Raw genomic sequence first — 26,375 nt, forward strand, 5'->3', positions numbered from 1 at the left:
TATATTTAGACTTTTGAATATAATTGTTCTGTAAGTTCATAGCTTGCATATATGGCTTAGTATATGAAAACAAATTCACTGAGAAATTAAATTTTACAGTTTATAATCAAATAAAAAAGTTTATAATAAAATAATACATTTTAAGAAATTCAACATTTGTTCATATCCCGAATTTCACTAAGGTTGAAGCATGAAATGCTATCGAGTGAATTTAGGACCATTCAAAATCTGTCTATTTAATAACAAACAAGTATTTTTGAGAGGTCATTAGTGTTGCTTTGGAGATAAAAAGGGAAAAAATATATTAAATGCCTAGAGACAGATACTTTCCAATTTCTATTTTCTTTTCCTTTCATTTCAAACTTTTTTTTCCCTATGACAAAAGTCTTCCACCATCAAGTCTTCTTGATTAGATCCTACTAGATCAGGTTAATCTGTTTTATAATTAATAATTTCTGTTGTTCCAACACGTGATACCATAAGCACTAGCTATTGTCTGGAGCAGGGAAAAAAATGAGGTATAAAATAAACACATTCCTATTAGCAAATGAGAGCTGCAGGAAACTTGAAGCCCTCGTTTTGTATCTGGAAATGGATCTGGGTCACTGACATAATATTCAGAACTCCGAATTTCAAACATAAGCTGTGAAATTAAAAAGGGTGTTTTTAAATCTATGTGGCTCAGATAGCAGTAATTTGGAAAGGACCAACAAATACAAATCTGTGTGGGTGTGTGTGTGTTTGAAAACGAAAATAAAGAAAAAGAACAAGAACAAAGCAAATCTCAGTGGTATATCAACTGGTACAATGAGTAACTAAGGAAGGCTATAAAAGTTACTAAGCAAGTCATTCAATCATAGACTCTGGGAGAGAGAAGGGCTCTCAAGTGGTCATATAATCTAGTTCTTTGCCCTGGAGAAATAGGATATTTCAGCCTCTTTCAATTCTAGCCCCCCAGCTTCTCTTAAAGATTTTAAAATGGATTATACATTTTTTAGGTTGACAACAATTTATTGAGTTCCTACTATGTGGCAAAGACTAAAGATAGGAGCAGGGTCACAGAGATTAATTATATACGTCCTCTTATCTGAAGAAGTTTAGACCAAATGAGAAGACCAACACACAGGCAGATAATTACGGCCAAATAATATGAGTAGCTTGGTCAAGTATGCAGTAAGTGCTGGGAGAAAAAATTCTTTCAGTGTCATTTAAGCTTATGACTTCTTATTCTGTGTTCTAGTAAAAAAAAAAAAAAAGGAAAAATTTCTATCAAATGGCAAGAAGGGAGAGAATGTAGTAGCTGGGTCTGGTACATTTGCAGAATATCTATTTGGATATTTGAATGATTTCTAAGAAAAAACAATTGACCTAAAGGAAAAGGGAAGAAACAAAGATAAGTAGGTGAGAAAGAAAATAGTTGACCAGTAAAGAATAAAGCTCTTCTCTTTTTTTGTATTTCTTAATTAAAGCTTAGTATAAATATAGAAAAGTGCCCCAATAAGATCTATAAATTTTAACAAAGTAAGACACTCCGGTAACCACCTAAAATAAGAAATAGAACATCTTGGCCTGGCACAGTGGCTTATGCCTGTAATCCCTGCACTTCGGCAGGCCGAGGCGGGTGGATCACGAGGTCAGGAGATAGAGACGATCCTGGCTAATATGGTGAAACCCCGTCTGTACTAAAAATACAAAAAAATTAGCTGGGCGTGGTGGCGGGTGCCTGTAGTCCCAGCTACTGAGGAGGCTGAAGCAGGAGAATGGCGTGAACCCGGGAGGCGGAGCTTGTGGTGAGCCGAGATCGCGCCACTGCACTCCAGCTTGGACGACAGAGCAAGAGTCCGTCTCAAAAAAAAAAAAAAAAAAAAAGAAAAGAAAAAAAAGAAATAGAACATCTCCAATACTGTCACAGCTTTCTTTCTTCTTCCTCCCAGTTATCACACACCCTCAAATGTAACCGCTCTTTGACTTCTAGCTCCAAAGATTAATTTTGCCTGCTTTTGGACTTTATGTAAGTTGAGTCATGTATTCTTTTCTGTCTAGTCTCTTTCATTTCACAATATATCTATCATTCATCTATATCATTTTGGATAACAGTAGTCCGAATATATGACTATATCACAAATTATTTTTTCATACTAAATAAATTTGGGTTGTTTCTATCTCTAGGCTATTACACATAATATTTTATAAATATCCTAGTATGTTGTTTGGTACATATATGTAAGCATTTATTTTGGCTTTAATCTGAGTAGAATAATGGGCCATAAGTAATGCTTTAATGGGTACCCTCAGTAAGTTTTCTAACGTGTTTCTACCAATTTCCAGTTGCTCCACATTCTTGGTAACAGTGTTGTCAGTCCTTTTTATTGTAGCTGTTCTTGTGGGTGTGTAGTGGTAGCTCACTGGTATTAATTTGCGCTTACTGGTATTAATTTGCGCTCACTGAAAATTATGAGTTGATTACCTTTTCATATGCATACTGGCAATTTACATATCCTCTTTTGTGAAGTGCTTTTCAAGTCTTTTGTCTCTCTTTTAAAAAGTTATCATCTATCAGTTCTTATTGTAAGAGTTATGTATCGAATCCAAGTCCTATTTCTTGCGTATATATTGTAAATACTTCATCCTATTCTATATGTTGCATTTTCACCTTTTAATTTTTTTAAATAAAAATAGGATTTTAATTTGAATGCAGCTCAGTTTATTAAGCTCTTCCTAGGATTAGTGCTTGTCATGGTTAGTGCCCCATTTCAGAAACCTTTGCTCACTCCAAGGTCATGAAGATTTTTTTGTATGTTTTTCTCTAAAAGCTTTATTATTTGACCTTTCGCGTTTGGGCCTAGGATCCACTGATCCATCTGATTTCTTCTTTATTTTTTTTAGTGATAGGTTCTCACTCTGATTCCCAGACTATAGCGTAGTAGCCTGATCATAGCTCAGGAACTTTTGGGCAGCCTTGAACTTATGGGCTCAAAAGATTCTCTTGCTTTAGCCTCTAGAGTAGCTGGGATTACAACTGACTGCTACCCAGGCCAGCTAATTAAAAACAAATGTTAGAGATGAGGGTCTTGCTATGTTGTCCAGGCTGGTCTTGGACTCCTGGCTTCAAGATATCCTCTTGCCTCACCTCCCGAGTAGCTGGGATTATGGGCACAAGCTACTACACCCAGTTGATTTGATTTTTTATGTGTTGTGGTAGTGTTTAACATTTGTTATTTTTTGAAATGGATAAGCACTTAAACATCATTTATTTTTAAGACCCTGTTTCATTGCAATAATTTTGCCTTAAATTATGTTATTATGTGTGCGTAAATAAAAATATAGACTTTTTTTTGTTCCATTGGTTTTTCTGCCTGTCCTGTCTCATTACTGTAATTACTAGTGGCTCATACTTAGTTTTTACCTCTAGTAGTATACATCTTTTAACTTAGTTCTTAATTTCCTTGGCTATTCTTGGTTCTTTGAAATTCCACACCTTTTAGTATTAGCTTTACAATTTCTATAAAAAGCCTATTAAGCTTTTGATTGGAATTGTGTAAAATCTAGAGATCAATTTGGGGAGAACTGACATCTTTATAATACTGAGTGTTCCAGCCCATGAATATGGCACATCTTTTTATTTTATTGATGTTATTATACATTGTATTTAAACTTGTTTTTAATGCATTTTGCTGGAATATAGAAATATAGTTTATTTTTATGTGTTGACCTTGGATCCTGGGACCCTGATAAATTCACTTAGTTCTAGGGTAGCTTATCAGTTGATTTTATTGTATCTTCTAGGTACATAATTGTATCATTCACAAATAATGAAGGTTTTATTTATTGCTTTTCAATTTTTAAACTTTTTATTACCTTTTCTTCATTTATTGCTCTGGCTAGATCCTGTAGTGCAATGTTGAAGAGCAGTGGTGACAGCAGCCATTGTTTCCTTGGTCTAATCTCACAGGAAAATTTTTTCACTATTTCACAATTAAGTGTGGTATTTGCTGTGGCTTTTTTATTTTATTGGAGATAGAAGTTCTTTTCTATTTCTACCTTGCTTAAACATTTTAAACATGAATGGATATTTTTGTTAAATTTTATCTGCATCTAAGTGGATCATAAAATTTTTCCCTGTATTTTGCTAATGGAGTTTGAATATTAAACCAACTTTGCATTCCTGGAATAAATTCAACTTAGTTGTGATATGTTATTCCTTTAAAGATTCAGGAATAAAGATTCCTTTATTAGATTCAATTTCCTGATATTTTAATTTTTAAAATTTATATTAATGAGTGTTTATATTAATGAGAGCCATTGACCTGTAAGTTTTCTATATTATAATATTTATCATGCCTTGGTATCAAATTTATGTTAACCTTTTAAAACAAGAAGTCTTAGGCTGGGCCCGGTTGCTCATGCCTATAATGCCAGCACTTTGGGAGGCTGAGGCAGGCGGATCACTTGAGGTCAGGAGTTTGAGACCAGCCTGGCCAACATGGTGAAACCCCGTCTCTACTAAAAAAAAAAAAAAAAAAAAGAGCTGGGTGTGGTGTCTCATGCCTGTAATCCCAGCGACTCAGGAGGCTGAGGCATGAGAATCACTTGAACCTGGCAAGTGGAGGTTGCAGTGAGCCCAGATCGTGCCACTGCACTCCAGCCTGGGTGACGTGAGACCCTGTCTCCAACCAACCAACCAACCAACCAACCCAAGTCTTTCCTTTTTTTCCTATGCTCTGGAGCTCTGGAGTCAGTTTTTGTAAGATGGCTATTCTTTCCTTCTTAAATATTTAAAATAATTCATTAGTGATGCTACCAGGGCCTAACATTTCCTTTTGGGGAAGATTTTTAAATTATCAGTATAATTCATGCAATTGATACAGTATTTTGTGTTTTCCATGTCTTATGAGTCAGTTGTATTTTTCAAGGATTTTCCCTTTCAAGTAAATTTTAGAAAGAAACAAATTAGCATAGAATTGTTCAATTCAATGAAGATTTTTATTTTGGAAGAAGTGCTCATGAGTCTTGGTCAGGAGTAAGTGGACCTAAACTGTTCAGAGAATTTTATGGGGATTTCACAGATTATGCCAAAGACGGACTTCTTCCTCTTTGAAATAAAGCAATATCAATGAAAATAATGTCAGTTGGTTGAAAGTATGTTTTATCGCTTCTCTCTCTCTCTCTTTTTTTTTTTAAACTAAGGAACTACTCCAAAATTTAATGGCTCACAACAGCGATCATTTATTTAGCTCTCCATTCTGAGCGTGAGAAGCCTGCTCTGGGCTGGCTTTGGCTCACTGTGGCTAGGTACACTCAGAGCCTGTGGCTAGTTGGTGGCTTGGACAGGCCTGAGGGTGGCTGATGATGGCAATAGTAGAATTGAGGCCGGGCGTGGCAGTGGCTCACGCCTGTAGTTCCAGCACTTTGGGAGGCTGAGGCAGGTGGGTCATTTGAGGTCAGGAGATAGAGACCAGCCTCGCCTACATGGTGAAACCCCATCTCTACTAAAAAACACCCAAAATTAGCCAGGTGTCGTGGTGCACACCTATAGCTTCAGCTACTCAGAGGATGAGGTAAGAGAATCGCTTGAACCCAGGAGGCAAAGGTTGCAGTAAGCCAAGATAGTACCACTGCACTCCAGCCTGGGTGACAGAGTGAGTCTCCATCTCAAAAAAAAAAAATCATCTCAAAAAATGATAATAATAATAAGTAGAAACGGCTGAGAGGTTAGTGGTGTTTTCATCAATGGCTATGCAATCTTTGTGACCTCATTCTCTAGAAGGTTTGCCTGGACTTGTTCTCATACCACTCAGAGTTCCAAGAGAAGCAGCAAAACAAATTCCTAATGCGTAAGCACTTTTCAATTATTTGCTTGTGTCACAGTTTCTGCTAACCATTTGGCCAAAAGCTAGGTGGCCAAGCCCAGCCTGTGTGAGAATAGTACATGAAAGGCAATGGATATAGAAGTATCAACAAAACAAGGCTAGAACAATCAGTCCACCAGAATGTGTGATATATTTGCAGCTCCAGTTATGGTGAAAGACTTAATTTTGGATACATGTAAAACAAAACCCTGCTAAACAATGATGATGGCGTTTTTTCATTCAGAGGCAAAGATAAATTATAACTGGTAGAGGGGAAAATCCCAAATAACCTAAATTCTGCTGAGAAAAATGATTTATACAATTATTGTGGCTTTAAAGTACATGTTTTGGATGTATGTGAAAGAACCCAATAATCTGTGCCTGGGTGAAAGGTGAAACTCAGTATTTGTGGTGAGAGGTGCATTATTATGCAAACTGCCCAATAACACGTTTTAATACAGGGAGATAGTTAACCTGGATCTGCTCTGGGGCGTGGAAAGAAAAAGGAAATGAAATATCTTAGCAGGGCAGGGGGAGGCTGTGAAAAATGTGGGGAGGGCTTCGTGATGGAATAGGAAAAAAGCAAGATGAATTTAAGGCGTTGTTAGGGAAATAAATATGTCTGTGGAGAATAATATTAATAACTAACATTTGAGAGCTAAGGGCTTTGTATTATTTATTTTAGCCCTTATAACAACCTTATGTTTACATAAAACTGTCAGGATAGAAATCATATACAGCACTAAATTATCAAGGAGAGGGTAGCCAAGAAGAGGAGACAAGGAAGATTTCCCATGGGAAAGGGCATGTTGTCTAAGATCTATAGGGTAAGAAAACAAGATGGGAAGAAGTTTTAGAAAAAACCTACAGAGGAGACGATATAGATGGAAAGATGTGGCCGTGCACTGCATTCAAGGTGATTAAAATATTCAGATAGAGGATAATTAAAAGGGAGAGAAATAGAAGATGTTCAAAGGAAGCATCTATGATAGTTAAATTCTACACAAGTGTGGAAAATATGTAACCTCAGGTAGGAACATGTAACACAGACAGCACACAAGAAAGCTAGAAGAACTTCTAGAGTCTCTCACAGAGAAAATAAACTGGCAACTTCTCGTTATAGAAAAGAGGAAATCTGTTGAATGCAAATAAATTTCAGAAAGAGGTCATGACTTTCCTTCCCTGATTTACAAAGCAGAAGAAAGGCACACTGGAATGAGGACTCCATACACACACATGCACATAGACACACACGTGCAGACATACAAAATGTAGATGTCTAAATGTTGTGTAATACCTGTTTTAGAAGGCATGTGATTGAAATGGGAGAAGATTTGATACTTTAAAAATGTGTTTGCACTTTTCCAAAGCCCAAAAGGAAAAAGAATAAAAGGAATATTAAAAAAAAGAATTTACAGACAATTAAAGGAAGGGAGATCCAATTTTTTTTTTTGCATAAGAAAACCATGATGTTAGGAGACTACAGGTCTCCCTATAATTTACTAAAAGTTATCAGAAAGTGGTTATCAGTCTTATGAATACTCTGAAAGGATATTCATAAAGAATCTGAAAGAATTCGTTTAAAATTTGTGGCTGCTTCCCCTTCCAAACAAGTAGAATATTTACCAGGTTAAGGGAGGCAAAAAGATTAAAGAACAGTGGCTTGATTCAGAAGCAGTGTGTTCTTTTCTGCAGGATTGGGAAGTCTCCAGAAGGACAGGGTGAACTGCCTTACTAGTCATGTGTGGGCCATGAACCTGCAGTAGCAGCATCACCTGGGAGCTTGTGAGAAACATGGAATCTCAGGAGGCCCCACCTCAAGACTAATGAATCAGAAACTCTGTGGTTGGTGTCTAGTAATCTGTGTTTCTAAAGCCCTCGAGGTGATTCTATTACACGCTGAAGTTTGAGAGTACTGGGTTAGAGGGCACATGGGATGATATCACAAAAATAAAGTGAATCCAAAAAGGAAGAAAACAATTTTCTTCCTTAAATATAGAGGTCCGTGTATTCAACAAAAAGTTATTGATTGTTTACTGTACAATGGTTAAACAAGATTAATGGATCTCAACATTTTCATCACAAAGAATCATTTTTGTTATTCCCATCATCCGGTTAATTTATGAACCATGCTTAGAGCAGGATTTCTCAACAGCAGCACTGCTGACACTTTGGGCCAGTTGTGGGAAGCGGTCTTCTTCACTGTTGGTGATTTAACAGCATTGCTGGCCTCTACCCACTTGATGCTAATAGAATCCTCCTTTGTGACCCCCAAAAATGTCTCCAGGCACTGCCAAATGTCCTCTGGGAAGCAAAATCATCCCTGGTTGAGAACCAGAGTTTTAAAGGAAAACAAAAATTAAGCAATATATATTTGTTAATATTATAGTTATCTATTTTTATTATGTAACTGACATAATGTTAGTCAAACACATGTAACTGACAGAGCATGAGGCAAATAAAAGTCTTTCGCTTCATAGACCAACTGCATTTGCAGATCAAATCCTGGCTGTCTGGTATATTTGACCAGGGGCAAAGGTAGGGATTCTTTTAAAAAACCTCAGTTCCATCATAGAAAAAACAATCATAAAATATTTGCTATTCAATGATTAAATATAATAAAGTATAGAAAGTGCTTGAAATAGCTCAGTACTCCTATTTCTCTTCTTACAGAATTCCAAATGTCTGTAACTCAATAGGGGCACCAAACTAAAATTCTCTTTAAAATCTCTCCCTGGCTCAACATTCTCTGGTTCTAGTTACATCTATATCTGAAAGTTCAGATTTTGTCGTTGTTGTTTAAAGATTCTTCTGTGATCTCATGAGAGCTATTCATACTCGCATTAGAAAAGTACAGACACACACACACACACACACACCATTTTTCCAGGTTCAGGATGTTTTCCAAGCTTGTGAAACTCAAGTCTCAGGTTAAAACCCTCTGATAAATATGTCGACAGCCCAGGAGTGGGCAGGTAGGGGTGACAAGATCTGTGCAAAAGACAGAACTGAGGTTGATGTAGGGAAAGTAAAAGATGCCACTCTTCTAACCTGAAAGTAGTAAAAGCTGGAATGGACATTTTAGCACTAGTTTGAGGTGGCAATAAAAGAGAGGAACTGTGACAGAATCCTATTAGAACAGCAAGAAATAGAAAACATGTCAAGAGGGACAACCAGGAGGAGGGAGCTTTGTTCTGCTGAAGACAAGCTAAGATAAAAGTCGGTGTTATTGAACTTGGGGGCATGAAAAATTTAATGCATGTGGGAAGACAAGGAAGGGATCAACACTGAGAATGTACTGTAGGGGAGGCGTTCTGCAAACATTTGTAAAAGCAATGTGTGTTAATTGTCGTAGAGAGACAACTACTCCTTAACCAGTTGTTTTTGCTGATGATGAATGGAGATGTTTAAAGAACTATTTCAAAAGCAATAACAGATTTATCCAGGAGACAAAGGCATGTGCATTAGTGCTAGGGTTTCAGTCCAAAATGGGGGAATTTCCTAATAGATATCACAGCCCAAGGAATAAACAGTATAAAATGACTGTGGACGTGGAGAGTTTCCTGTGGCTATGGAAACCTCTGCTGACTTCTTACAACTTTGGAAGATTCAAAGAAAGTCTTAACCATTATTTTACCTAATACAGTGAGAAAAACTGAGATATTTCACAGAATGGAACAAATGATGTTAAGTTTATATTTAAAAGAGAACAGTAGATTTAAAGCTGAGAGCCTCTACAATTACCAATACTGCTTACCAGGTATGTATACATAGAAATTCAGATGCAAAACTGAAGAGAGAGACCATGCTTTTAGATACAGAACATAGCCCACTGAATATAGAAGGGGTGGTGAGAAAGCAAAAATAATGAGCTGGTTAAGTATAGGAGTTGAGAATCAGACAGAAATGAATTCAAATTATTGTTTGACGTGAGGTTTGCAAGGTATTTTCTTTTCTAAGCTTTATGTTTCTTATCCATAAAATGGGTGTGAGTATACATATCTCTAAGGACTGTCCTGGACATTAGGTAACATATGAAAAGATAATGTATTAAAAATACCTGATGCAGTCAGGTGCAGTGGCTTATGCTTGTAATCCCAGCACTTTGGGAAGCTGGGGCAAATGGATCACTTGAGGTCAGGAGTTTGAGACAAGCCTGGCCAACATGGTGAAACCCCATCTCTACTAATAATACAAAAATTAGCCAGGCATGGTGGCACATGCCTGTAGTCTCAGCTACTCTGGAGGCTGAGGCAGGAGAATGGCATGAACCCGGGAGGCAGAGCTTGCGGTGAGCTGAGATCATGTCATTGAACTTCAGCTGGGGCAACAGAGCAAGATTCTGTCTCAAAAAAAAAAAAAAAAGAAAAGAAAAAAAAAAACCCTGATGAATAGAAAATTCTTAACATATGGTGGTTATTGTTTTATTCAATGTTCACTGTGTTCTAGGCACTTTCATGTATTTGTTTAACCCTGACAGCCATGATGTGAAGTCCATATGATTGTGTACATATACACTATATATATTTTTATAAGAAGTATGAGGACATGAAATAATGATTGAAATGTTAAATCACAGCAATAATTTTTAACTTTGTAATTTTAGTATTCCTAATGGCTCTTAAGGTAAAGCAACTCTCTGTGGAGAGGGGACATGGTTTACCCGTTTCTGTGTCCCTCATCTCATAGTACAGTGCCTTGAACCCTGTGTGGATTTATGCCTATGTGTTAGAATGACATCTTATAGAATCATGCATTTAAAGTAGGAAAAGCCTCAGTGATCATGTAGTTCTCTTCTTTTCATACAGACAGTGGGATTTTAAAAAGAATGAATTTCTAAAGGTCACATGCTAATTAGTTGAAAAGTATAGACTAGAATGTAGCTTGTCCGATTCAGTTTCTAGAGTTGTTGAATGCTTTTTCTTTGTATGAGAAGTCTTAGTTCCTGGAGGGGGTGATGAGGGCCTTGAGGAATGTATAGATACCCCTGCAGAATGACTCCCGCGGCTTCCCAGAATGAGGGCTTTGCAGAGCCCTCTCTGTAGGCAAGTACTTGGCAGGGGGTCCATGCTCAACAGCTGCTTCCACAGTTGTTCACTCTAAGACAAGCTTTTAAAAAGATAGTTCCTATGTTGTAAATGATAAAGATCGCTTCCTGCAACTTAGTACCCCAAATGTGTCTGCTGTGTGAGGAGGAAGAATTGGGCCTTTGCCTATTATAAGTCTAATGTGCACTGATCCTGGAATTTCTTAGGTGGAAGAATAAATTGAGTTTTAAGCCTCTTCAAAGTATGTAGGGAGGTGTGTGTGTGTGTTGGGGTTTGGGGAGGCATCAAGAAGGGTGAATGTAATAGGATCACACTTACTAAAGCCTGGGTAAGTTTCACTCATCAAAATTTGCAAAAAGATATAGTTTTATTGAGGCCCTCCTAATCTCCTAGCACTTTGACTTTTTTTTTAAGGAAATATTCTTGTATCAGTCATTTCCACCCAATCTTCACTCATATCAGCTGGGCCTGTTTGCTCTGACGTTGAATAGTCTTGGATCTGCACCCTGACCCAGGCTGTGAGGCTCAGAGAGGTTCCTCTATTTCTCTGAGCCTCCTGTTTGTTTCAACTGTGAAGGGGGAAGAATACTAGTGCCTATCCACCTAATTGTGAGGATTAAATGAAAATTACACAAAAATGTTTAGTGCAGTGCCTTCCAGGGTAGGCCCTTCTTGTGTCTTTTTATTATGATTAGTACTCTCAGGAGGGCTTACATTTACATTTTCTATCTCTAATTGTGTACTATAAGACCCTGTTCTTCATTAAAGGGGTTTCATATTCTGAAAACAGGCTGGAGAGGCCTAGTGGAAAAAAGGGGCCCTCTGAATTTGTTCTTGGACAGTCCTCTATTCTGCCAAAACCTATTGTTAGCCTGTATAAAGACAACCATGATGCTGACAGAATAGTCATCATGTCAGTATCTGTGTGGAATTACAAAATTATAGCATCTGTGAAGAGTGTCTTCATTTCAGGACCATTTACGATTATGTGTCATTTTTCTAGCTGTAGTGAATCCAGTGCTCCATTGGAAAGTATACCTGCGATTTTAACTACATGCGCAGATCCCTACTGTCGCATAGAACAAGAAGCCTTGAACCTGCAAGTTGCTGTAAATACCACTTCACTGTGCTCACAGGGCCCCTCTGAACCCCTCTCTCACTGAGGCTGTTTCTGTGGACATAGTACGACATGTAATAGTCTCTCTCCCGAGTCAGACAACTCCTGGGCATAAAACATTTATTTTTCTAGCCCCAGCAACTAGCATAGTGCACGGCCCCATAGTTCTCAAGTAATATTTGTTGAGCCAAATAACCTGTTATTTGGCTAGTTTGGTGTGACAATTTCTGTACCTGTGAAAATATAAACTGGCTGTTAGTGTGAAAGGTGCCAATTGTATCTTTCATTTATAAATATGAGCATTTCTCATTGTTCAGTGTGTCTGAAGAGGCACTGTTTAAATCACAGTGGTGATAATGGCAGGTTATGTGGCAGCAAGCCAAGCACAGCTGAGAGGACTGAGACAGGGGAACAAACCTGCAATCAGGGGAATTTGATGAGGGTCATTGAAAACCAAAGTTTGACGTCAGAATCTGAGCTGGAGAATAATTATATCTCCTTATAAGAAAATAAAAAAACAACAAGGGGTTGATAAGGACTTGTCTTCCCCAATGTCTGAATCCCACCTGCTCAGGTATGTTTATTTGAAAATGTCTGGGCCTATCAACAGACCAGTTACCTTAATCAAAGGTGGTGCCCCACCATCCACAATAAAGAAAAACATGGTATTTAGGTAGCAATTACTGTTCATACAGCATAATTATTGTCTTATCTTTGTGCTGTAATAAAACCAGCCCCCAACCCAAGCCATATCATATGTTCCTGTGCTCCTTAAATGGCGAGAGTTTTATAAAATTGTCTTCAAGTCATGGGGTAGGGCCTCAAGGGGATAGAGTTGTGTGGTGAATGGGAGCATGAGATACAGTATTAGGCCAGTCACCCTAAACTCTCTAAACCTTAGTAACCTATAGACTTACAGTGAGGATGATTTGTATAGAGAGCCTATCACAGTACCTGGCATCAGCACTCAATAAATGGTAGCTATTATTTCATCAGTAGTAGCAGCAGTAACACTATAAATAATAGTAATGGTAGCCACATAGGAACAGTAGGAGCCATCCTCAATGGGGCAGGCATTATGTCAATCACTTGGGGAGGAGGCCAGACCCTCAGAAAGGAAACCAGAACTCAGGAGACCTGGGTCTTAGGCTGGAAAAGTAACTTCTGCCTCTCTCGAAGATCTGGACTTAGAAGTGTCCAGATGATTTTTTGGGTGAGGAAAAGCTAGTTCAGGAGCCATACAGGGATACGGACAAGGAGGTAACTCTGTGGCGACTATCTGAAGATATATGAAGTATGGCTGGTAGGTCAGATGATCAAATTACAGATCATTTCGCTTTTGTTCCTCCAGTCTTTTCAGTCTAGTTTGATTTTCATCTCATTTCAGATTTGCCATGGGCCATGAAAGAAACTGTGATTTTCCCTATTTGAGCTTGATGTTTATTGGGTTCTAGCCCACCTAAACCCCCTACTCAGACACTCTTCTCCCTCCCAGTGGGGTCAGTGAAGCTAGGACAAGGGCCATTAGCAATAACTTCCAAAGGGAAGGTAAAGTTGGGGACACAAGGTTCCCACAACCTTCCCTTCCTTGGCAATCTTGTGGTTCCCACTGTTAATTTTATCACAAATGTTTGCAGGTGTTCCAACTGGCACTTAATCATATACTATACTTCAATGTTTAGTATGTTTAATATAATCTTATTTTTTCCGTTAGGTTATAAACTCCCTTAAGGCAGTGATTTTGTCATGTATTATAAAAATCACCCATAGCATCTTGCACAATGATCTCTAAGTGAATATTCAGTAAATATAGTAACTGTTTATCTAAAATGTTATATTAACCTGGACCTTGGAAATACCCTAAGATCTTATCAAAACAGCATTGTATTTCCCTATTCTGTTAGCTCTTTTGGAGCTATAGATTTCTGTATGTGATTAAAATTGGAAATCACTTTGTTTTTAACAAAACCAGAGCATTCCTTGTAGTATAATTAAATACCTGTGTTCTCAATTCCCCAAAATCATACAGCAGGGGGCCATCTCTAGTACTCACCCCTGAAAGGTAGCTGACACAAAACTTAACTAAGGCATCTTGCTACACAGGAAAGAGCATTTTAATTTGCTTCTTGAGAAACTAAATTTCTGGGAATTTGTGATAATAGCTGGATGTGGGAAACTAGAAAGGCCTATAAACATGAGGCCCTTAAAACAAGGCATCCCAAAAATCCAGGAGGTGGCATGTACACAGTTCTCAGTTAACCATCCTAACAGCTGAGTAGGGGCACAGAAAATTCAAAATGTGATCCCAAACCTACTTCCTGATGAATAATAATGCTACTCTAAGAGCAGTTCTTTCCCCAGTAGGTTGTAAAGTAGTATTAAAATGTACTTTGATTTCCTAAACCTGATGATGAGAATTGTGGCTCCTTTTAACACTCGAGAGGATAACATTTCTGTTGGATAAATAAGAACCTCTTCTGTGTACACAAAGAATCTTCTGTCAATAGAGTACAGAGCATATTTCTTTTCTCATGAGGTAGAAAGCAGCAGCTTTGACTCAGCGTGGAACCAGGCAGTGCAGACCCAGAGCAGCTTCCAGCTCTCAAGCGGGTGCAGGGTGCAGAGTGCAGAGTGAGGGTGATGAGAGATGAGGCCAGCACCCAGCCAGTTAAGTCTCTTGTTTGAATTAGTTCCAATTCCAAAGAACATTACAGACAAAACAAACTTTTCAGCTCTTAGGAGGTGACTGCACTAACTTGACAAAAATGCAACTCATTAATTGAATTCTGATTACATAGGTATTGTGGCAATTTGCTTTGTATGCATTATCTCATTTCATCTTCTCAACCATCTCATGTTTAGTAAGATGAGGTGAGTGAGATCCTTCATTATGGAGGTATAGAATCTGGGGCTTAAACTCAGTTTTGTCTGACTCCAAGCCCCTGTTCTCCAGTCTTGTTATTTGTTCTGCGTTTGAGGAATGTACTCAATGGCAGGGATAATCTTAGCACCCAAGACAGCCTCAGACTATCTGTTGAGGATGGTGTTGTGATACTGTCTGGGCTGAAAGTTCAGCCAGACAAAAGCAGTGATGAACTTGTCACAAGTGGGGAAATTCACCCACCAAATGATTCTGAAACATACTGAGTATTGTTGAAGTCTACATCTGAACGGCCAGGACTATTTATTGACTTAGTGTGTGTTAAATGGGCACCACTTACCCTGTGCCTCACTGCCATTGCTTGGTATTTCTGCCTTCCAGAGGCAGCCCTTTGGATTCATCATATAGATAAGTTCTGTCATATCGATGTCTTTCTCTTCTCAGTTGTCAGAAGATTATAAGGAATAGAGGAGTTTTCCTGACATTATGATAACTGGATCCTGACTTGTTAATCACACCTCCTTTGTGTGGGGCCTCAAAGGAAATACCACAAATAAGGAATCTAGCAACATATGAGGCAAAGTTCACCTTAGTCATAGTTGGGCATAAATCTTATAACCTATACTGGAGCTCTGGTAAAAGACTGACTTGAAGCCTGAGGCTTATCACTGAGGCTTAAGCAAGGCCTTATCATCTATTCCTCATGTCCTGCCTCTCAAAATGGAAAGTTTGGGACCAATAGGCCCTGGTAAACTTGCCTGGCCTGTTGGTCCCCCAGGGATGACCGGGCTTCACTTTGAGCATACCTACACATGCACAGGATCATGGAAACTAGCAATACCCCACCCATACCCTCTCAGCACTTAACCCTCTTGGTGTATACCAAAGGATCCTATGGCACACACCCAGGATTCTCTGCGTGAGGGTTTATGCTCAGCGGGGCCTGCTGCAAATGTTGGGTAGTTAACACCCCTGAAACAGCCCTAGCTGTTGGGAGTTGAAGGATAAATACCCCAGCTCCTTCATTGCCCAGGTGGAATGAGTCTGGAGCATATTCTGCACTTTCTCCTAGAGTTCCATCAGAGGTGAAACTCAGTTGCCTAGAGTGGCTGACCTGCTTGATAATTGTAACAGGGAGAATGATATTCCCCAAGAGGGTCACATCCTAATTCTTGGCACCTGTGAAGTTGTGGGAGCACATGTGGGAAAAGAGGCTTTGCAGATGTAATTAAAGTTATATATTTTAAGATAGGGAGAGTAGCCTAGATTATCCAGGTGGGCCCAGTCTAATTATATGGGCCCTAAAAACAGAACTTTCTCTATTTGGAGAAATGCAGCAGATGAGATGCAGCAGCAGGAGAAGTCCAGAGATGTTTGAAGCAGGAGAAGGAGTTGATGCAACTTTGCTAGAGCTGAGATATAAGGACCGGTGTTCGAGGATCAGAGAAAGGTTTTAGGAGCTACAAGTGATCTGCAGCTGATAGCCAGAAAGGAAATGGGACCTCAGTTTTATAGCCACAAGAAACTGGATTCTGCCAACCATCTGAATGAGCTTCTGCTCCAGGGAGGAGATTCTCTCCCAGGACCTCTAGACAGGAGTCCAGACCTGAAAACCCCTTGGTTTTGGTGTTGTGGAATGCTTGGCAGAGAGCCAGCTCAGCCATGCTGTGCCCAGACCTCTGATCTACAAAAACTATGGGATAAAAAGATGTGTGTTGTTTAAAGCCCCTAAGTTTGTGGTAACTTGCTATGACTTCAACAGAACATGAATACCATAAGGCATACACTCTTGGTCTGCTCCCTTCCCATCCCCCTACTGGTGTTTTCTGGGCTCCCCTCCCCACAAAAACCACTTGCGCTCACATCCCAGATGGAACTGCATCAAGGCCATCAAGAATGTGCACCACTCAGTTCTCTAGCTGTAGGCCTTTGGTATCTGCCACAGCGTTAGAGCTGAGGACATGCTTCTTTTGGGAGCTCACGACCAATGACCAAGCTCAGTGGAGCACACAGTCTGACCATTCTGCCCAGCTCAGGACTCCTCTACAGGTAACTTTGTGCTGATGTTCCATTGTGCTGTCCCAGGCTGTTGAGAGCTGCACCGCAGTTTCCTACTACTCACCTTTTCCCTTCTCTCCTTTAGAACATGAGGCCCATATTGCTATCTGAAGGCTTTGTCTACTCCTGATCCCCTTTATCTTTCATAGATGTTACCCCCTGTAAATCTCCTGTGCTTCTAATTCCATCATGACATCTGCTTCCCTAAGGACCAAACTGACAAACCCACCAAATAACACATGCTAAGCCTTGTCCAAGAAGGTGGACCAACCTCATCACAGTGAAATCAATCAGATATATAAGAGGGAGTGGAGAGTGGCCACATGCCTGTGAAAGTATAGTAATATCACCCATTAAAAACTATGGTCCAGGCTGGGCATGGTGGCTCATGCTTGTAATCCTGGCAATTTGGGAAGCCAAGGCAGGTGGATAGCTTGAGCCCAGGAGTTTGAGGCCAGCCTGGGCAACATGGCGAAACCCTGTCTCTACAATTAAAAAAAAAATTAGCCAGGATTGCAAGACCAGCCTGGGCAATATGGTGAAACACATCTCTATAAAAACAAACAAAAAAAAAAAATCCAGGCGTGGTGGCACATGCCTGTAGGCCCAGCTAGTCAGGAGGCTACGGTGGGAGGATCTCTTGAGCTGAGGAGTTCAAGGCTGCAATGAGCCAAGATTGCATCATTGGACTCCAGCCCAGCCTACAGAGCAAGACCCTGTCTGAAAAAAAGAACTGTGGTTCAATAAATGATCTGAAAAAAAGGTGATAATAATTAAATTCTAATGACATCAGAGATTATGGCAATTTGTATGCATTATCTCATTTTATCTTCTCAAGCATCTCATGTTTAGTAAGATGAAGTCAGCAGAAACTTACATTAAGGATCTGGAATCTAACGGTTCTGATGAATAATTCTACAGGAAAGCAAGAAGAGATAAGCTTGTGGTTGAGGGTACCCAGCTGGAGATGGAGAAACAATACTAAAATCCTCTGCCTTACTTGTCTGTTTCTTCAGGGGCATGAGTTCCTACATAGTTTAGCAGTGGGAGCCTGTGAGGCTGCCAAAGTCACAAAAGTTCAGGAAAAAGTGAAGAAGGCTGTGGCAGGATGATAAGATATACTACAGTGTCAACACAGAGATGATGCATGGCTGGCCAAGAAATTCTTCCTAGAAAAATTAGCTGTGTAGTCCTACTTCTTTAGGCAGAAGACTCATCAGAAGACCATATTCAAAGGGCAAGTCTGAACCAAAAGCTGATGCTGCAAAAGGCAAAATCTCAAACCTAGCAAACATAACTCCAGATATGAGAATTTGAGTTTCAAAGGCACTCCACTATTTGAAAGCTAGTTACATTATTGGCTTTAATGCTGGTAATAAAATTTATATCATAGCAAAACAAGCAGCTGCCTTAATTAAAAATAGAGAAACTTCAATGTAAGTTGTATCTGAAGAGTGATTTAAAGAAATTACTTATAGATGTATCTATGTGTTGTTGTATCCACCGATGGGGGCATTTATTTTACTAAACCAAGCAAATTAAAATGTTCTTGATAGCTTTCATCCCAAGAGTTTCCTTTTATATAAGGAAACTCAAATACAGACCACTGTTAGTATCACATTCAAGGTTCTTGTGTCCAGTGTGTTTATACTCAAATCTTTCTCTAAAGAGTGTAAAAACTGCAATAGCTGCTGAGGGCATTACTGCTTATGAAAATCTCTTGCACAGCAGAGGTCGGGCTTGGAGATGTCAAACCCTGAGTTATGTTCCATGGTTATTTAACCTTTAGGATCACTTATCATTGATTACTTGCTTCATGTAGATGTGTACTTAGTCTCTGTGATCTCCCCACAAAGTCAAAATTTGTACTGTTGACCTTTTTTTGTAACCCCCAACTCCTAATCCAGTTTATTGATGTGCATAGAATAAGACACAGGGTCTATTGATGTATGGGGCTTCATAGCATAGAAGTGAGTATAAAAGTGTTCTGATGGGAATCAATCACTTGTCCTAGACAGAACACTTGACCATTTTCAGTCATGTTGCAACATACCTCTTAGAATTCACACTAGGGCACAAATCAGAGTTTTTAGCACAAAGGGACCTACATCCTTCAACATCAGTTCTGATGTAGCAATTGCATTTGGAGGTATCCCTTAAGGATACAGTGTCTGGCCAAGACAGCATAGCTCAGTGGATGGCCCCATGGATTTTGTTTATGTTTGGTTATTGCTACAATACTTCTTAGCTGTGTGACTCTGGACCAATTTCTAAATTTTCCAAAGCCTCTATTTTCTTATTAGTGAAGTGGGGAAATAGCAGTACTTACCTCATAGGGCTATTGGGAGGATAAGACAGTAAATATAAAATACTCAGTGATGCCTGACACATCAGAGTTCAAAACCAGATTGAAAAATATAGTATTTAATAATGTCTTAGAAATGGAAATGGAATGGAAATGTCTCTCTAGCCTCTTGCCTAGCAGAGAGGAGGCACTCAATAAGTCCTATGTATTTTAATTAGGATAGGCTAAAGTGTTATGACAGATTGACTCAAGATATAATTGACTCAAACTCAGTAGAAGTTTATTTTTTCTTTACAAAACAGCCCAAAATGGATGTCACACATCACTAAAGGGGACTCTGCTCCACACAACCATTCAGGGAACCAAAGTAAAAGTGGTAGTGCCATCTTTAACTTGTAATGTTCTGGATGTCATCATCCCTGTAAGCTGGAGTGATGAAGGCAACTTCCTGAGACGGTTTTTGTGGGCCATATCTGAAAGAGATACACCACTTCCCCTCACATTCCATCAGAGAGAACTTAGTTTCATGGCCATACTCAATTGCAATGGAGATAGGGAAATATAATTAGGTTGGGGAGGATGAATTTTGGTAGGCAGTTAACAACCAACAGTTTCTACTACTGCTATCTTTTCTGGAACAATAAGCTCAACATTGATTCATTTATAATATTAGATACAACTTTTCTTTAATTTAAAAACCTTAAAAACCTAGCAAGTTAGAGTCCAAATGTTCCCGTAAATCTATAGGTAAGAGTATACTGGTCATGTAGTGTTTTTAGTCTAACATTTTATTTTATGCATAGCAGAACTCCTAACAGGAATCAGCCACAGAAGGCATGCAAATTATATGCTACAACTTTAACAATTTATTCAGACATTTATTAAAACAATCGATATTTATTGAATATTTAGATTTCTGTAGGAACTGTGCATTTCTGTGGGTGATAGAAAAAAAAAAACAGATCTAGTCCCCAAAGAGCATGCATTTTGATAGTGGCATGATGAGATGTCCACAAGTTATCATAAAATTGGAAAATGAAATTATTATGGCAAAAGAGCTAACGAAGTGCTAGAAACTGATTAAAAACCCAATTTTGATTAGGCCAGAGCTACATTTTAATTTTCTTGGCCTTTTGAAGTTTTCAAAATGGAGCCTCTATTACATCCAGACATAAGTTTCTCTCCTGGTCTTCAGCTGATGAGGGCATCATGAAGTCCTGCAACTCCTCTCCCTCAACCGTCACACACATACAATTTTTAATGTTTTACTTCCAAGAGGGAAAACTTTTCAATGACATCTTTCATCAAAATTAATGTTAAATATTTTGGGGGGTTTTGGTGGATGTCATTTCTAAGCAAATTATTAGAACAGCAAAAACAGTTTATATCATAAGTTTTAAAGTCCTTTATACATTTTTTTGCATTAGAGATATTATACAATTCTATCTATTTACAAAACACTTTACTTTTCAAAAATATCCTGTCAAGAGGTTTTGAAAATATCTATTTCACCAATATCTATTTAAAGATAAGTCTGGAAATAAGATAATTTCAAAATTAATTACACGGATATCTCATTGAATCCTTTTTTTAAAAAACTAAAGACAAACTAATTTTCTTTTTACAGAAGTAAAATATAAGCACACTTTGATTAAAATTCTGCTGTTAGTGATTATTAAAAGAAGATATTACTAGAACCAAAATTAAGCTTTCTGAAAAATGTCACTGCCTATTTCCAAAAAGGTTTATTTTATTTCTAATAAAAAGAAGTTTGAACATGCTGTCCCCATTCTTTTTTATAAGGCATTTCTACCCTGGAATTCTTTAGGCACAGAATGTGTGTTTTCTGCTTTGAACAAGTGGGGGATGACTTTCTAGATTTTGTGGGTGCATCAGCTGCTCTTTGAAGGTCTCTTCTAGTAAACCACAATGCTGAATGATTTTCCATTGCATATCATTTCCATTTTCTCTATTGTAAGTAATGATGCAATGTACAGCTTTGGATATTTAGCTTTTTCTTCTTTTGAAACATTTCCTTCCATTTTTTCAAGATAAAAGGATACTTTTTAAACCAGCATCCAAGTTGTATGACATGGTCGAAACAATTAAAATAGGTCATATTCTCCATTTCATCTGACAACATGTCACCTTTATTCTTGCCAATACTTAAGGTTGCAATACCTTTGTGTCAAGAGCACAGGATTCCTAGTAAATGCTGCCACGGCTCAACTTGCTCTCTTAGACATGTCATTTCCTTTCCCTAAGTCCCAGTTCCTTGTTTCTGATCTTGGATCTTTTCAGCTCTAACAGTTTTCTTCACATGGTAAAATCCTAGACCAACACCAATAATTATTCGACTTCCGAAATCTGTTTCAGTCAGTCAACTCTCTTTGTCTCTTGACTTCCCTTATTCTGTTATATTCATGTGCCACGTGACATTTTGGTCAATAACAGACCACGTATATGATGGTGGTCCTATAAGATTATGATACTATACTTTTGCTGTACCTTTTCTATGTTTAAATATGTTTAGATATGTAAATACTTGCCATTGTGTTACAGTTGCTTACAGCATTCGGTAGAGTAACATGCTGTGCAGGTTTGTAGCCTAGGAGAAACAGCTATACCTTGTTGCCTATGTGTGTGGTAGGCTATCTCATCTAGGTTTGTGTAAGCACCGTCTGTGATGTTTGCACAACCATAAAATTGCCTAACAACACGTTTCTCAGGATGTGTCCCTGTCTTTAAGCGATGCATGACTGTCATTCTATTCCACCATTTCTCCACGTTCATTGAGACTTACTACTTTCTCACTATTGAGGTCACTGATTATCTATACTTAGCACCTCGATGCTTACAGCTCTGAATGCTCATCTGTAGAATGGACACAGCCACAGATGTGCTCAAGTTTTTGAGATGGTTTCTTCTCTAGGCTTCTGAGACATGCTTCTGGATTTTCTTCTATCTTACCTGTCCCTCCTTCTCAGTCTCCTTTCTGATCCTTCTGTCCCCTCCATCACACCTCTTGATGCTGGATATCCTCATGACTCAATCCTTGGCCTTCTTTCCTCTATTGACATTCACCTCTTAGTTATTTCCATCAAGTCCCATAACTTAAAAAATTCACATTTCTACCCTTCTCTTGGGATATAGACCCATATGTTCACGCCCATTTGGATATCTAATAGATACCTCCAACTAGCAGAACCATTGGTTTCCTGTCCTCATATGCTCACAGGCTTCAGAGCACCAGCCTCCATTTTGTTCTCCGGAAAAATAATAAGAACATGGGAGTCAAATTGGACTCTCCTTCATACCATGCTTTCTCTCTGTTAGTAAGTCCTGTTGGCAGAATTTCAAAATAGATTCTGATTTTAACTACTCCCTGTTTCCACCATTTCAACCCTAATCTAAGCATCTATCATTTGTCACCTAGACATGGCAACAGACTCCTAATTGGCTTCTCTGTCTTCACTCTTGCCTTTCACAGTCCATCCTTACAGAGCTTTCAGAATGATTTCTCTAAACATAATAACAATAATATTTACTGAGTACTTATTATTTATAATACCAGGTTCCATTCTAAGCTCTTTACCTGAATTTGTTCCTTTGAACCCTTTGAGTTGGATATTATATCTGTTTCCATTTTATAGATGAGAAAACTGAGGCATAAGAAAGATAAGAAACTTGTACAAGGATATATTGCTAGTAATTGACAGAAGCGGGATCTGAATGTGGGAAGTCTGTTACTTGAGCTCTTAAATACTGTATTTTATTATTTTTATGTCACTCATCTGGTTAAAATGTTCTAAAGGCTCCTTATGGGGGATGCAAGGCCTGGCTCCTACTTACCTCTTTGATTTAATCTCGAATCCTACTTCTTTCTCTCGTCTCCACCTTATTCACTATACCCCAGCCATGCTGGCCTCCAATTTATTGCTCTTTCCTGTTTTAGGCTTTTGAATTTGCTGTTTTTTTCTTGGGATGCACCTTGCTGGGTCTTTGTATGGTTTTCTCCTTCTTGTCCTCTAAATCTCACTTCAATTGTCACCACCTCCAGAGCTCTCATCAACCCCTCTACCCCCATCTTTTCTCTTTGAAGCACAACTACCAGAATGCATCTTATTTACTTATTTGTATTTGTCCTCTTTCTATTACAGTGTAAACTTCTTTGGGCTTTCAGTCTTCTCTCTGTAACCCAATGCTTTGAAGAACGCCAAGCACATACAAACCTCATGTCTGAAATGGGTATGACAGGGCTATTGTTAAGAGCAAGTGGAATTATATCCAGGAAAACCCTTTGTAAAATATGAATTTCTTAATATAAATGGGATATTATTGTTTGAAACTGGAAACCCTGATGGGACAGAGGCCAGGACTGATGCTGAGGCCTTGTCTGCTGTGAAGGCAAGAATCTATACCTTAAAATAACAAAAAAATTCAATGAGAAAGGAAAATAAATAATTAATACACATTATTTGTTATTGAAACAAGGAATAGAACATTTATTTATCCAAGATTTATGTCAAATCAAGAAAGTGTAGCCGGACATGTTGGCTCATGCTTGTAATCTCAGCACTTTGAGAGGCCAAGGTGAGAAGATTGCTGGAGCTCAGAAGTTAGAGACCAGCCAGGGCAGCATAGTGAGACCCTATCACTACAAAAAAATTAAAAAATTAGCTAGGTGTGGTGGTGCATGCTTGTGGTCCCAGCTACTTGGGAGGCTGGAGCCCAGGAGGTAGAGGCTGCAGTGATTGCTCCATGATTGTGCCACTGCACTCCAGCCCAGGTGACAGAGTGAGACCCTGTCAAGAAAGAAAGAAGAAAGGAAGGAAGGAAGGAAGGAAGGAAGGAAGGAAGGAAGGAAGGAAAGAAAGAAGGGAAGGAAAGAAAGAGAGAGAAAGAGAAAGAGAAAGAAAGAGAAAGAGCAAGAGCGAGAGAGAAGGAAGGAAGGAAGGAAGGGGAAACAGTGACATGAAATCCCTGGAAAGAAGCAGTGTTCTGTTGTCTCAAGTGTGGGCGCACGTTTGCACATCCATTTCCTTGTGCTTATACATTATATTTTATCTATTAAGGAGTTTGCTTTCTAACTGGAGAGTCTGGTGTATCTGGACAGGGCTACTAGAGCTAATTATTTCCCAGGGCTCCTGCTGCACAGGCAGCAGGAATATTTTTACAGTTCTGCTTTACGAGTTCCTGGAGTCATAAGCATCTCCACAGGTTTCAGAGCTCCATCCTGGGGCAATTAGCAACTGGTCGTGACAGGTACTACAAGTAGTGACTACACTGACAAATTCGATTACACAGAAACTATGTGTTTCTGCTGGCTTTTATGGGCACCCTTTCTGCACTATAATTCAAAAACATTGATTCACCTAGTATCCAGAGATTCAAATTTTGGGCCAAATGCAACAACTGTGTGCATTTTCTGTTCTACTCAGCATTTGCATAAACCATTGTCATTATCCCTATGTTTTCCAAGGCTTTTATTTTAGATGTTCAGATTTAAGTTCATTTCCATCCTGCAAAGCATACTGGGATTGGATATGTGTCCAAGAAATGGGGACTCTGAGACCCAGAAAAGTTTAGAGGAGAGCTTGAGAGAAGAGTACATTGTCTCCTAAAGGGAGTTGTTAGAGGATGGGCATATTTTTTTCTGGTGGCCAACAAGACTTCTCTTTTCTGTTCCAGAAGCACCACTGTAAGACTAACCTCCAAGTCAGTGACTCTCGCCAGGCAGCAGGAGTAGAGTGAGTCCAGAGACAGTACGCTTGGTTGGGGGCAGGGGCACTACTTTGATGACCTCTGGCCTTTATCACTGCCTGTGGCCTTGGGTTTCCAGACAGAAGACTAGGGATAGTCCTCAACAGAGAATCTGGTTTTGTTCGGTTTCATTTAACATGTGATGTGTGCTTAGTGAAGGTGAGTCATGAAGAAACCGATCTCAGTCTCCTGTGCTCTTAGTTCCCTTACTAAAATTTTTTAGTTTTCATTTTTTCCCTCTGAAGAAAAACAGAACAATAAGAATCAAATTCAGTGGAAGCCAATTTATAAGTGTTGTTATCACTGCACCCCCTTGAGACCTTTTCCTCTTGGGATCATCTCTTCAAATCCAGGCTGCAATGCTTGCAGGCACAGCTGTCTAATGATAAATTAAATTGATACTGCAATACTGGTATAAACTTCCACATTACAAAAGGCAAACAGCAGCGTCTTTTGAAAAGAGCACTGAATCAGATAATCAGGGGACTGAGGTCCCTGCATCCACATACCTTCTACCTTCTATTGTCTGAGCTTTCATATGGTCTTTATATTCTTTCTGTAATCAAAGTACACTTATTTCTCTCTGAGGAGTAGGGTCAAGCTGATGTGAGAAAGTAGATTTAATATCCTGGAGGGAAATGTGTGGTGTGTGTGTGAGTGTGTGTGTGTGTGTGTGTGTGTGTGTGTGTGTGTGTATGCCTTCCTTATTTTTCAGTACAGTTGGCTATCTGGAATGTTGAATAGGTATTTTGTGTTGTAATTAGCTACTGTGCTTTACACTTTGCTGCTGGGGCCACTCAACTTCCAAATGTAAGTCAAGCCTCACTCTGGATTCAGGATCAGCTTTGACCTTGCGAATAAGGGATTTAAAGAGCCATAGATACATGCTCTTGAGATCAGCATCATCTCCTTGGTTCCCATTCTGGCTCTGACTTGGTCCATCAATTACAATCATTGGCTTTCTTTGCCACTCCCGAGGCTTGACATACTCCATAGTTTGAACCCCTGGATCCCGACCTTACCCCTGTGTCCAAGTTAGAATCTCGTGAACTACCTGCTCATTTTCTCAGACTTACCTGACATTTCTTGCTTGCTTGAATCTCTTCACTGTCTTATTCTTCAGGTGTTTCTGAGAGTGGGCTGTCGTTCGCCACCCTGTGATGAAGCTCCCCAATGGTGACTGCTTGAGGGGAGAGTGGAATTCCCTGTCAGATCCTGCAGCAGGGTCTGTACCCTTGTTGGAGTTGGAGGATCTAGTTTTAAATCTGTATTTTTCACCCATCTGTCTCACACATCATAGTTAGTCATTTAGAGAGGTAATGCCCTGATGTAGGACAAGTAGTAAAGAGGGACT

General features: G+C 39.0%; 3 annotated features.

Annotated features, from left to right (window-relative positions):
- Positions 17,837–18,205: a transcriptional cis regulatory region, noted in NCBI's record as "candidate enhancer chr8.2223 targeted for multiplex CRISPR interference". NCBI's record gives its function as "positively regulates DECR1 gene expression with high confidence in K562 cells {active_cell/tissue: K562}" and the evidence as "EXISTENCE:mutant phenotype evidence [ECO:0000015][PMID:30612741]".
- Positions 17,988–18,132: an enhancer, noted in NCBI's record as "145 bp enhancer 124 fragment used in the MPRA reporter construct; PK_construct_4643". NCBI's record gives its function as "activates an SV40 promoter by MPRA in K562 cells {active_cell/tissue: K562}" and the evidence as "EXISTENCE:reporter gene assay evidence [ECO:0000049][PMID:23512712]".
- Positions 18,052–18,069: a transcriptional cis regulatory region, noted in NCBI's record as "GATA motif; MPRA enhancer 124 activity is reduced when this motif is scrambled". NCBI's record gives its function as "necessary for full MPRA enhancer 124 activity {active_cell/tissue: K562}" and the evidence as "EXISTENCE:site-directed mutagenesis evidence [ECO:0005528][PMID:23512712]".

The sequence above is a fragment of the Homo sapiens genome, chromosome 8, assembly GCF_000001405.40.
Source record: "Homo sapiens chromosome 8, GRCh38.p14 Primary Assembly".
In the NCBI taxonomy this organism is placed as follows: Eukaryota; Metazoa; Chordata; class Mammalia; order Primates; family Hominidae; genus Homo; species Homo sapiens.